The following is a 14,533-nucleotide window of genomic DNA, read 5'->3' as shown; positions in this document are numbered from 1 at the left end:
TCATAGGCACAGAATGGGGGCGTGGCGGGCCAGGGTGGTCTTGGAAAATGCAACATTTGGGCACCAAAACAGAAACGGCTATCCTCACCTAGGTCCCTGTGCACAGGCTCGGCTGAGGGATGGGGGGCGGACCCCTGGCCGGGAACCCGCCATTCTCTACCCAGCACTTCCCTGCCCCTGTTCCCTGATCACATGCTCCCAGGATCAAACTTCAGGCCATCTGGAGCCACAGCACATCCTCAACCCTTTTCTATAGAATGGAATTATTTCCTGAGACCTTGCTTCCCTCAGAAAGTAACTGATAATATTGCTTGGGGGCTGATGTTATCACCCCCAAGTTATCAATGAGAAAACTGAGGCCCAGAGTAGTTAAATAACTCACCCAATGTCACACAGCTAAGAATAGCAGAGTGAAGGCTCAAACTCAAGCCTCCTGCACTTTAGCAATGTGATCTTGCCATATGGAATATCATGATCGATCACGCAGCACTAGGCGCAAAAGCACACTTGATTAATAGGATATCTCTAATTCCCTTTTTTTTAAAAAAAAATCTATGAGGAGGCCATTACTACTTACCTAGGGAAGACTATGTGGCATGTTTCAGAGAAGGCCTCCCTGTTGCTGGTTCTATTCCTTTTTCTTCCCTGGGCTGGACTAACCCAAATAATTAAGAAGAGTATTTCTGAAGGAAGTTAAATAACCCCAATTAGGAATGCTCTATTTTAGGAGGAACTGGGACGGCAGATCTTATTTCCATATGGCAGTTGCATGTGTTTATTAATAAAAAAGACTAAGGAAAGGTCTTCTTTATTAATAAAAGTCTTCCATGTGACCATGGAATAGTTATCTTGCGCTAAATTCCTGGGAACCAGACACAGGCTTTTCCAGCTTGTCCGCTGCAATCGTTTGTGGCCACTATGAAAGAGTTTATCCTCAACTCTCCCCCTAGAATGGCTGTTTCTGAAATGCGAGTCCTGACAAAATGACTCACTGGGGCCATGTTAACTTTTATCATCATCTGTTTTTAGCAGTAATTAGGCCATAGTGATTTTGGCGGCAGCACATAAGTCAAATTTGCAATCGCTCCCTGCACTAAAAATCCTGGTGGTTATTATTGGCGTTTCGCGGCCCTATGATTCACACGGGTTTGGAGTGTTGCTGCTTAAGGTATCTGGTCAGGTAATTAGGGAAGTGTCGGTTTCTTTTGTTTCAGTCAGTTCAGATCAAAGACCTGCCAAAGTCGGTCCCTGAAGTCCTTGTCTGAGCCCCACTGTGTCTGCTGCTATGCAGATAAATCCTTAAAGATAGAAAACCCAGCCATTCACAATATGAATGGTCTTTCTTTATTATCACTAAGCTCTACACAGTTTCCAATAGTCATCTGGAGGATGTGCAAGGTTTGAAAGGATTTTAATTTTTTGAAGGCAGGGAGAATATACAAACTATTAATTTTTTTAATTATTATAATCATGTGGGACAACTCCAGATGCCAAGTGCCCACTCTGACAGGCCACACCCTCATTTTTGGCAAAATGTTCATCATATTTCCTGCTGTGTTAATCCCTCCATGGAGTTGTATGGCTTGAACACAACTTTCTGTTCCCCCAAAGTCCTTCTTCATAGCTCTCAAATGTCGCTTTTGCTGCATATTCATCTCTGAGTCCTCTTCATTCTAGTTGTTAAATATATATCTTTTTAATTCTGACAGGTATTCTATCTCCCAGGAGCCCTGTTTCCTGCTTTCCTAGGTCCCTGGATTCTGCTGAACTTAAAACATCAAAAAAAAAAAAGACAACTCAATTGACCAGTTAAATCCCAGCACTGCACCCCAGCATAGCGCAGGGGAGAAGGGAAGCTGGACCTGGAGCCGGGACTCCAGTGCTTCTCATTGCAAAAGAAGCAAGTGGTAAATAAATTGGAAGAAGACACATCTGCAGGAGGGGAATTGTTTACAGAGTTTACAAAGGGCAAGAAGAAAGGTAGATGTGAGCTGAAAAATATAAACAATGGGTAAAAATGCAAAGAACTAATAAACCAGGATTCTCTTATTGCAGCGATTTGGAGCTGCTTAATCCTGGCCTCCCAGGATTCAGTCCCTCATTCAGTTGCCTAAAGAAAAATTCCTCATGCATTGCTTTAAAATTCATCTTTATTAGGGATAGACAATCAAAGTATAGACATGTAGCCCAGGCGCAGTGGCTCATGCCTGTAATCCCAGCACTCTGGGAGACCGAGACAGGCAAATCACCTGAGCTCAGGAGTTCGACACCAGTCTGGCCAAAATGGTGAAACCCCATGTCTACTAAAAATACAAAAAATTAGCTGGGCATGGTGACAGGTGCCTGTAATCCCAGCTACTCAGGAGGCTGAGGCAGGAGAATGGCTTGAACCCCAGAGGCGGAGGTTGCAGTGAGCCGAGATCGCGCACTCCAGCCTGGGCGACAAGAGCGAGACTCCATCTCAAAAAAAAAAAAAAAAAAAAAAGTAACCAGGCATGGTGGTGGGCACCTATAATCCCAGCTGCTCAGGAGGCTGAGTCACGAGAACCGCTTGAACATGGGAGGCAGAGGTTGCAGTGAGCCGAGATCACGCCACTGCACTCCAGCCTGGGCAAAAGAGAGAGACTGTTTCAAAAAAAAAAAAAAAGTATAGACATGTACGAAAGTGATAAACTCCTGTAGTTCATCAGAATATTAGTTACTTCTGGGGAGAAAGTGATACACAAAGTAATTCCAGTGTATTTGTCATCATTTATTTCTTGAGCTGATGATGGGTATATCACTATCTCTATTTTTCTTTATCCTTTTATGAATGTCCAGAAGATTTTGTAAGAACTTCTAAATAAACAAATAATTAAAAGAAGCTCATCACCAAAGCCAGCTACTTGGAACATCCATCCGGGAGTATCAAGGCCACCTTCTCAGTGTGCAGTCCCACAGAGCCCCACACTCAGGAGGATTCCACACTTGGATTAATGCTCTGTTGTCACCATCTTAAAATTCTTTGTAAATTTCTAACAAGGGGCTCACATTTTCAATGACCAATGGGCCCTGCAAATCACACAGCTGGTGCTAGGGAGCATTTAGTCAAGAAAAGCATATTTCTGTTTTAAGTTAGACACACGGGCAGACAAGCCCAGGAGTCAGGACACTCGTGTCACCCTCCCTCTGGAAGCTGTGGATCTCATTTTCCACTTTGACTAGTTAGAAACATCCTCAAGACACCTCATAACTTCTCTCTCATCTCTTGTTCATCTTCTCCTATCTTGTCCTCAAAAACCAAAGACAGCCAAAATACAGAGGAGGAAAAGGATGGTCAGGGTTGGTGGCAATTCTTAGGAATGGTGAGAGGAAGTGGTTCCAGGTTTGCCCCACTCCCATCTTAGCATCAAACAACAGGGAAGTGGCTGCCACTCTTCTCTACTCCTCACCAGGAGTCACTTATTTTAAAAAATTTTGGTTAGGATTTAATCCACCAAAAAAGGATGAAAGATTTCTACCCTCTAATTATTGATAAAGCATGCTGTCACCCAGAAAATAGTTACTGAACACCTGTTATGCACAGGCACTGTATTAAGCCCTGGAGGTTACAAAGAAGGAAACTCAGTGTCCCCAGCCTGCAAATGTTTACAGTCTATTGGAAAGACAGGGAAGCAAACCAACAATTATACTGCAGGATGGTCACTACTCTCCTGGAGGGGCTGCTAAGTGCTGTAGAAGCAAAGGAAGCATGCTGCCATCTGCCTGGGGCATGGGGGGACATTAGGGAAGATGTCATGAAAGAGGAGAGTGCACCAAAGCATTCAGGCAGCAGGGACAGTATGCGTATGGAAACAAGTGAGCAAGCATGGCATATTTATTTGGAGGACTGCTTTAATCCATTTATTCTTTCTTGATAAATCATCTGCAAGTCACCATGCTTAAAAAGTAAATTCAAGGGCGGATAATGACAGAAAAAGTGGGACAGATAGGAAAAGATCAGATCATGAAGAAAAGATTAGATTTCGTTTTGTTAGTAAAGGAATCATGGAAGAATTGGGGCAGAGAAGTAATATAAGATCTGTTTGTTGGGTTTGTTGGGATTAGAAGAACCCTAGGCTTTGGAAGATAATTTCAGGGAAAGTGAATAAAAGTCATGTGGCCAGTAAGAAGGAGGCTATTGCAATATCCCTGCTTCTATATAACTAGGGAAGTAATGATAGAAGAGATATTTCAGGACATAGAATTTAATAGACTTGACGAGTAGATGGGGCAACAAAAAGAAAAAAAGAGAAATTTATTATGACTCATAGGTTTCCATCATGAACATTTAGCAAATGGTGGCCTCATTCGCTAAGGGTTGGAACCCAAAAAGGGAAATGAGTTTGGAGAAGAATATGAAGTGTTCAGATTCGGTGTTGTTGGGTTAGGAAAGTCTGTGGGACTCTGAGTAAATGTATTTCTATCAGGTGAATGTATATGTGAGTTGAAACTCAAGAGAGAACTTTGAGCTGAAGGGAGTCACTCATGCACAAGGAATAATTGGACCAACAGCCCTAGCTAGATTGCCCAGGAAGAAAGAAGAATGTAGCAAGAGAAGTAACCTGATGATAGGAACCTTAGGACTGGAAGGTAACAATAAACTGTCAAGGGAGACTGAAAAGGAATGCCAAAATAATTAAAAATGAACTAGGAAACAGTGGCATCATAAACCCAAGTTGTAAAATGGAGACAATGATCAACAATGGCAAAGGCAGGCAGATAAGACAAGAAAAATGAGATCTGCAGAAAATCTCTGGATATAACTGGAAGATTTTTTATGACCTCAATAAAAATAGTTTAAGTTTAGTAGTGAGATTATGTTAGATGACTTTCTTGACATGGCTGGCATTTATCTTTTAAAATATTACCAAAGTATTCATTCCTTTATTCATCCCTACATAGTACCTAAAGGAGAAAGATAATTTATAGCAGCAAGGATTAATCTAATATGCATTGATAACACAGGTTGTATTTACCTCCCTTGTAAGGGATCACCCAGAGTGCTTCACACAAGCAGATGCTGAGACCAAATGCTTTGGATGAGATTATTATTACAAAGGGCAAAAGTTTTAACATCTTAATCTCATATTTTGAAATCTACATATAAAGCTTCTTGATTTGTTATTTAGCCAGATTGACTGCTCTTCCAGGTCACTTCCCCAAATCTTTGCTATATTATTTCAAACAGTTTCTAAAAGGAAAACTCCATTGGAATGATATGTATATCACAATTCCATACAAAGGCATATGTCCTACTATTTAGTTAAACTACAAGCAAAGAGCCAGGAATATGAAAATTGAGGTAGAAACTGTTTGGAGTTCACTTGTTCTGAGGCAGGCCCTTGAGTTCTTTGTCTACATTATAGATACAGCTGCCATCTCTTAGATTTGGAGAGAGAGATGACTTTCCTATCAGCTATGGCAGGCTCCAGATATCAATGGCTGAAAACCTTATTCTTCCATGAAAATGTTCTGCCTAGAGGAAATCAAGTCCATTCTCAGGCAGGCCCAACACTTACAACTTGACTAGTTAGAAAGTGATCAGAGTTGAGCACCTCAACACACTAAGTCTTGTAAGACTTAGAAGCAAGAGCTAATTGGTAGCCCTCCTTTGTTCTATCAGCAAAACTTGGAAATGAATATTTAGACTTCGTGATAATCATGTAGAAAACAGAAAGAAAGGACAAGGTATAAGGACCAAGGGATCATGGGGGGCACCAAAATAAAGTCACACCCAGGAGATCTGACCTCTCGAGGCAGGCCTATAGCAGTGGTGGTAGCAATATATTTGCAACAGATTCATGAAATATTAAACACTGTCACTTACAGAATGAATCTTTCTTTCAGGGCTGTGTGAGTTTTCTTCTCTACTGCTATATTAGCAGCTCTAATATACAGCTTTATCCTTTTCTCTCTTATATACATAGAATAGGTTGGCTCCTTTATTTGAGCAATTTTTTTAAAATGTTGAGTTTCTTAATAAATTGACCCGATGGCTTATAAAAAATACCATCAAAAAGAGCATTTTGTGTTAAAGAAAGCACAGTGTTTAAGATCAATTTATTTAATTTTTATTTTACTGACCTCAAACTATTTAAAATAGTGAATTCAACAATCCCATGTCCTCACTGCCAAATATCTTAATTCTCACCAATCAGCACAGGGGACAGGGCACAGGGGAAGAACAAGTCAATAAAATGGTAAGTAAGCCAAAGCTTCTGCCAATGAATGCTAACAATTTATTTATTTATTTATTTATTTATTTATTTATTTATTTATTTATTTATTGAGATGGAGTCTCACTCTGTCGTCCAGGCTGGAGTGCAGTGGCATGATCTCGGCTCACTGCAAGCTCCTTCTCCCCGGTTCAAGTGATTCTCCTGCCTCAGCCTCCCGAGTAGCTGGCACTGCAGGCGCCCGCCACCATGCCTGGCTAATTTTTTGTATTTTTAGTAGAGACGGGGTTTCACCGTGTTAGCCAGGATTGTCTCTATCTCCTGACCTCGTGATCTGCCTGCCTCGGCCTCCCAAAGTGCTGGGATTACAGGCATGAGCCACCGTGCCCAGCCAATTCTAACAATTTTTTTAAATGTTTGAGCTCATGGAACTAATCAATTCAAACGCTTTAAGGAAGAACTGAACCACCCAGAAGTGATATTTGATGTTACAAGACATGGCAACAGCTTTCTTTTACCAAAATGTAGCAAACTGTGACTTAAATACAATAAATTGACTTTTACTTCCAGCCAAGATGGAGTAACAGGGACTGCATTTATCTTCTTACATGAAAAAACTTATAAACAGAACAAATATGAAACAACAGTTTTCAAAATATCGGTCACCAGGCAATGAAGGAAAGTGATCCTGAAGGTATGAGGAACAAACAAAGTAAGCTCTACAGTGGTTCCACTTAATTCCTGGAGAGAGTTTCCAGGCTACCACATATGGAGGTGAAAATAAAAATTAAAAACTTTTAAAAATAGAAAAAAGCTTATAGAAAAAGGGCGTAAAGAAAGCAAATATTTTGGTCCAGCTGTGCAATGTATTTATTTTTAAGCTAAGTATTATCACAAGAGAGTCGAAAAGTTTTAAAAAATTAAAAAGTTTATAAATTTAAAAAGGTACAGCAAGCTTGGGTTAATTTATTATTGAAGAAAGAAAACGTTTTAATAAATTTAGTGTAGCCGAAGCATACAATGTTTGCAGTCTGAAGTATTGTACAGTAATGTTTTAGGCCTTCACATTCATTTACCACCTAATCACTGACTCATCCAGAGCAGCTTCTAGTCCTGCAAGCTTCATTCATAGTAAGTACCCTGTATAGGTGTACCATCTTTATCTTTTATACAGTTTATATTTTACTGCACTTTTTCTGTTTACATACAAACATAGTTGACACTGTGTTACTGTTGCCTGCAGTATTTAGCACAGTAAGATGCCATACAGACTTGTAGCCTAGCAGCAATAGGTTATACGAAATAGCCTAGGTGTGTAGCAGGCCATACCACGTAGGTTTATGTAAGTACACACTGTGACATTTGCACAACTACAAAATTGTCTAATCACACATTTCTCAGAACATACCCCTGTCATTAAGCAATGCATTACAGTTTTTAAACTACTAAAAGAAATGGAAATTGTCAATCAAGAATCCTATATTCAGCAAAAATATTTTTTAAAAAACAAAAATGAAATTAAAATGTTTTAGGCATACCAAAGCTGAAGAATTTCTGACACTGCAATTTTCCTTCTGCATTTTCATGCAGAAAGAAAATGATACCAGATGGAAATCTGAATCTACACAAAGGAATGAAGTGCACCAAAAATAATACTTACATTGACAAATATAAAAGATTTGTATTCTTATTATTTTTCTTCTTATTCACCATCATAAAATTATAATGAATATCTCTCTGGAAGACTTTAAGGAGTATTGAGAATATCAAATCTATACTAAGATGGTAGGAATTGATGGTAGGAATTGATTCCTACTAAGATGGTAGGAAATGATGGAAGTAACTATCAAAAACACAGCCCTAAACTGAACACTGACAACATCCATAGATCAGAAATATTTGGATATCTTAGCAATGAGCATTTTAAGGACTGAATCAGGTAATTAAAACTTGACTAATCTAAGAAAATATACAGACATCAATTATTATAGAAAATATTATTGAAAAGATACTGCCTTCCAACACTTTTTACCGCAGCTATCCTTCACTCACCCATTGTTCCAACTATATCAAGCCATTTCCTCCAGTCTGGCAGTTGGCTTATTGTAGTTCCTACCCAGTTTTTATAATCTGCTGGACTATGAGGTACTTGGTGGCAAAGAATCTGCCACCAACTTACCTTAACACAGGAACTGACCCATAGCTTGCAAATGCAAATGTATTTATTATTTTTATTTTTGCATATGTTAGATTTGCATATATTATATGTATTAGATGTATTAGTTTATATAAAATATGTTATATTTATTACTTTATTATATGTTAATGATGGGTTATGCATTCATACTTCTGGTTACTATTTTTCTTAAACCTTCCTTATGTATATTTATGTTCTAAAGGACTTTTTTGACACCCATGGAAGGCCTTAGATTATTTTGATTATTTTGAATGTTCTTCACATTCTGCACCAGGCCAGGACACACTAACTCACTCAAAACCAGGACACACTTTCCTCACTCAAGGGAATGAAAGAGATCATTCCTTTGATCTGATTTTGGTTTGCTCCTAATTTTTATTTTATTCAGAAAGAGAGAGAGCGTGTGTGTGTGTGTTTGTGTGTGTGTGTTTACATATATATAAAATACATATATAGTCTATATAAGGCAAATCACATTTCTCAGGTTTTAATATCCCCAAAATCAGAATGGACCATACAATCAGTAAACCTTAGATTCAGTAAAATATAGCAATATTCAAGGCATATCACAGAAAATGGCATCTACTGTTCCATACTACCCCATTCCTGAAGCTTACTCCCCATAGGCAACCATTTTTAAAATATTTCTTCAGATAATTATTAATATCTTTATATTTTGAAACATATACTTACATGTCTTTTTTTTCCCACTTTCAGTGGTAGAGAGAATATTCAACTGGGTCTGACCTAATCACATGAGCACTTAGAAGGAAAGTTGTCTCTGGCTAGGAACAAAAGAATGAGACAAGAATGCACTCCTGCTAGCCTGGAAGAAAGCAGACACTCATGTTGTGAACACCTGATGGAGGGGGGCAGTCTCTTGGAGCTGAGAGCAGTCCTCAGCCAACAGCTAGCAGGGAAATAAAGACTTCATTTCTACAAACATTGGAAAATGAATTCTACCAACCATTCGAATGAAGTTGGAATTGGATTCTTCCCCAGAGCCTCCAAAAAGGAAGACAACCCAGCTGATTCTCTGATTTGAGCCTTGCGAGACTCTGAGGAGAAAGTCCAGTGAGTCTCTGTGCCTGAACGTCTCACCTACGGAACTATGAGCTAATAAATGAGTATTGTTTTAGACTACTAAATCTGGAGTGATTTGTTACATAACAATAGGAAGCTAATATAGTAGTTATATTTTTATCAATATTCAATTTTTATATTATGAATATATGGATATTATTCACAGGAGAGCCATTTTGTACATTGCAATTGTATTTCTATTTTTGTACAGATTTGTTTCCCTAGAGTCAATAATTGTCTCATTTTTTCCTTCCTTATTATTCTGTGTGTTTATCACTAATTTTCTTTCATAGTCTCAATTTTTCAGACAAACATACTGCGTCATCTATTACTTTCATGTTTTCCTCAATGATCTCCCTTCTGGATCCTCCCAGCCTTCTGCATCCTCCCAGCCTTCTGCTCAATCTGTGTTGGTTGCTTTCCATCTCTCAGCAGAAGTGACTTAATGTTCAATCTTCCTTCACAATTTCCTTCACAATTTTTTGGAATTCTCTCTCCCTCACAGTTCTTGTATTTCTTATTTAATTTTGGGGGGTTACCCTTTTGTTTTAGAGAAACACCACTACCAATGGCTTCCTGTGAAAGAGATCATTGTAATAATTTTTTTGTTTTTCTTTTGTACTTTAATTCTGGTAAGAATATTTAACATAGGATCTACCCTCTTAACAATTTTTTTTTTACTTTAAGTTCTGGGATACATGTGGAGAACATGCAGGTTTGTTACATAGGTATATATGTGCCATGGTGGTTTGCTGCACCTGTCAACCCATCGTCTAGGTTTTAAGCCCCAAGTGCATTAGGTATTAGTCCTCATGTTCTCCCTCCCCTTTCCCCCTACCCCCTGACAGGCCCTGGAGTGTGATGTTGCCCTCCCTGTGTTCATGTGTTCTCATTGCCTCTTAACAAATTTTTAAGTATGCATACAATATAGTGTTGTCCACCATGAGCAAATGTCGTACAGCAGATCTCTAGAACTTAATCATCTGGTTTAACTGAACCATTATACTCATTGAATAGTAACTCTCACTTCCCCCACTTCCAGCCCCTGGTAACCACTATTCTACTCTTCTGCTTCTATGTGTTTGACTATATTAGATACTTCATATAAATGGAATAATGCAGTATTTATTCTACTGTGACTAACTTATTTCACTTGGCATACATTATGTCCTCAAGGATTATTCATGTTGTTCCACATAGCAGGATTTTCTTTTTTAAGGCTGAATAATATTCCATTGCATGTATGTACCACAGGAAAATGCAAATGAAATCACAGTGAGATATCTCACACCTGTTTACGATGGTGCCTTAGTCAGTTCAGGCTGCTATAACAAAGTACTATAGACTGGGTGACTTATAAACAACAGGAATTTGTTTCTCACAGTACTAGAGGTTAGTAAATGCAAGATCAAGATGCCAGCATATTCAATTTCTGGTAAGGACATCCTGGTTCAGAGATGGTCGTCTTCTTATTATATCCTCACATGGCAGAGAGCAGAGAAACCCTGTGTCTCCTCCTCCTTTTAAAAGGGCACTAATCCCATTAAGGAGGACTCTATCCTTATGGGTTAATTACCTCCCAAAGGCCCCACCTTCTAACACTATCACATGGTATTTAAGGATTTAGGCTTCAACATATAAATTTTAGGGGTCAGGAGACACAAATATCTAGCCCACAGAAGGTGGTTATTATTTCTTAAAAAATAAGTTTTGACAAGAATGTTGAGAAATTGGAAACGTTGTACATTGTTGGTGGAAATATAAAATGGTGTACCCACTATGGAAAACAATATGGAAGGTCCTCAAAAAATTAAAAATATAAGTGTCTTATGATGCAGCACTTCTGGGTATATATTTAAAAGAACTGAAATAAGTATGTTGCAGAGATATTTGCACTCCCACATTTGTTGTTCATTGTAGCATTATTCACAATAGCCAAGATGTGGAAACAACCTAAATGCCCATTGATGGATAACAGATAAAACGTGGAGGTAAATTTTTTGAGATTTTTCGTGTCTTCATTCTACATTCCTGCTTGGCTGATAGTTTGGATAGGCATAGAATGTCATGGAGGTGTTCCTTCACTCTGCTTTGCTTTCCTTTGTTTTTGAGAAGCCTGATGCCACAGTGATTGCCAGTTCTTTGGGTATGACATGTGATGGTTAATACTAAGTGTCAAATTGATTGAATTGAAGAATGTAAAGTATTGATCCTGACTGTACCTGTGAGGGTGTTGCCAAAGGAGATTAACATTAGAGTTAGCGGGCTGGAAAAGGCAGACCCACCCTTAATCTGGGTGGGCACAATCTAATCAGCTGCCAGCACAGCTAGAATATAAGCAGGCAGAAAATGTGAAAAGAGTGACTGGCCTAGCCTCCCAGCCTACATCTTTCTCCCATGCTGGATGTTTCCTGCCCTCGAACATCTGAATCCAAGTTCTTCAGTTTTGGAACTCACGCTGGATTCCTTGTTCCTCAGTTTGCAGACGACCAATTGTGGGACCTTGTGACCGTGTGAGTTAATACTTAATCATGTGAGTTAATCGTGTGAGTTAATACTTAATAAACTCCCATATATATGCATATATATATTCCTTATACCTATAAATATATATATTCCCTATATATAAATATATATATTCCCTATATATATATATTCCCTATATATAAATATATATATTCCCTATATATAAATATATATATATTCCCTATATATATAAATATATATATATATTCCATTAGTTCTGTCCCTCTAGAGAGTCCTGACTAATACAGACCTGATTTTCTTTTCGTCTTCTTCCTCCTTTTATTTCTTCTCTGTCAGAGTTTTTAGGATCTTCTCTAAGTTCCCAGTGCTGAAATTTCACAAATGATCTTCTTAGTATGTGTCCTTTTAATCTGCACTCAGTGAGCCTTTTTAATTCAGAAATTCGTATCCATGGGTGGTGTTATTTCTTAGATAATTTCCTCCCTTCTGTTTTTTCTGTTCTTTCTTTTTAGAAGTCCTATCAGTTTCTCGCCTGAGCATTTCATTCTCTTATCTTTTCTCTCGCATTTTTCAACCATCTGCTTAATTTCTTTAACTTTATTTTCCACCTATTATATTGGTTACTTTATTCTGCTTTTTAACTTGCGAAAGTTATTTCTGTTCTCTGAATGTTTCTTCTTTTAAGTGTAATTGTGTTTTTCCCTCATACTATCTTTTTATATTTCTGAAAATATTAATTATTTGGGAGAGTTTTGTTTTGTTTTGTTTTCAGTTTGTTTCTGTTCCCTGTATTGTCTTTCCTTCTCTGAGTTTCTGGGTTTTTTGTTGTTGTTACATTAATTAAGGTTTCTATTTTCACCATGGAGGCATTCCTCACATGCTGGTGATCCTTGACTATAAATTCCTATGTAAAAGTGAATTATTAAAATATTATTCAGAAGCATTTTTTGCATGAAAGCCTTCTCAACTAGGCCAGGCGCAGTGGCTCACGCCTGTAATCCCAGCACTTTGGGAGGCCGAGGCAGGCGGATCACCTGGGGTCAGGGGTTCGAGACCAGCCTGGCCAACATGGCAAAACCCCATCTCTACTAAAAATACAAAAATAAGCCAGCCATGGTGGCGGGCACCTGTAATCCCAGCTACTTGGGAGGCTGAGGCAGGAGAATCACTTGAACCCGGAAGGCAGAGGTTGCAGTGAGCCAAGATTGCGCCACTGCACTCCAGCCTGGGCGAAAGAGCTAAACTCCGTCTCAAAACAAAACAAACAAAAAAAACAGAAAAGAAAAGAAAAGAAAAAAAGTCTTCTCAACTAGTGAGTGAGCTTCCTTGTAGGTGGAGACCTGATTGTTTCCTTGGGAAACTTTAATGTATTTTTAGATCTTTTTTGGCAAGTTTCCCCAGGAACAAAGCATCCAATCTCCTGCCAGGAGGGTATAACTCTGGCTGTTCACATTCCAAGAACTGCTTCAGGAAGGGAGCTGGAGTATCAATGGTCGGTATGTAAATTTCACTTAACCCTCTTGTTTTCTGATATTCCTTCCTCTACCATTCCTAGTGTTCTTGAATCCAGGACCTTTTTCTTTCAGTCTCTTCTGAGAATGAACTTTCCGTGGTCCAGAAGCTAGGAGAGGGGCCAGGCTGCCAAGGTTGATGAAGAGGATCCAGGTCTTTGCGTCTATACTGCTGCCTTTGATTTGGGGTTCCTTCCAAGGTTGTGCAGCTCACTTCTTAGTGGTCCTTCCTGCCTACAGGCATTGAGTTTTCAACTCCAAAGTGCAAAGTAATTTGCCACACTGGTTTATTCACTTTCCAGCTTCGAAATTTTGCTTTTATCTCTTCTTTTCTCTTCTTGGTTTATCCTTTTTTATTCCTTTATTATAAATTTAGTAAAATTTCAGAAAAAAATCATCATGCTTAACCAGAATATCCTAGATATTTATAGGCTATAAATTTTCTTCTATTTATTGTTACAGCAGCCTCCAAAAATCTGAAGAATTTGAAAGCATAAAAAACGTCATTATTACTCCTTCGATTTTTTTTTCTGTTTACTGGTATAAAAATTTCAGGGATTCTGAACTTTTCATAACTACTAATATGAAAAAGACAAAGTTGAAAGAACCCTTTACTTCCCAAACTAAAATGGTAACCCCTCTTCTCCCATGTACATACACCATGTGGCAGGTCCACAGCATATTCATGCCAGCGTTCCCATTCCCTAGCTTTACCTTCTTTGAAATGGTCAGAGGGAGAGTAGGAAAATTTCTGCAGGCAGTAGTGATGTTCCCCTCCCTGTGTCCATGTGTTATCATTGTTCAACTCCCACTTATGAGTGAGAACATGCAGTGTTTGGTTTTCTGTTCCTGTGTTAGTTTGCTGAGAATGATGGTTTCATCCATGTCCTTGCAAAGGACATGAACTCATCCTTTTTTATGGCTGCATAGTATTCCATGGTGTATATGTGCCACAATTTCTTTACCCAGTCTATCATTGATAGGCATTTGGGTTGGTTCCAAGTCTTTGCTATTGTGAACAGTGCCGCAATAAACATACGTGTGCATGAGTCTTTATA

At 38.6% G+C, this 14,533-nt stretch overlaps 1 long non-coding RNA gene across 1 annotated transcript; it reads right to left on the bottom strand.

Moving 5' to 3' along the window:
- Nucleotides 1-1,462: 1,462 nt before the first annotated feature.
- LOC105372930 (uncharacterized) lies at nt 1,463-9,504 on the bottom strand. Its single transcript, XR_922619.2, has 3 exons — nt 9,362-9,504; nt 9,088-9,220; nt 1,463-1,673 (listed from the first exon to the last, which is right to left on the bottom strand). It is a non-coding gene; the product is annotated as an uncharacterized LOC105372930 (long non-coding RNA).
- Nucleotides 9,505-14,533: the final 5,029 nt, after the last annotated feature.

This window comes from Homo sapiens, chromosome 1, assembly GCF_000001405.40.
Source record: "Homo sapiens chromosome 1, GRCh38.p14 Primary Assembly".
Taxonomy (NCBI): Eukaryota; Metazoa; Chordata; class Mammalia; order Primates; family Hominidae; genus Homo; species Homo sapiens.
The sequence above is the reverse complement of the archived record's forward strand: the minus strand, read 5'-3'. Positions and strand labels throughout refer to the sequence as shown.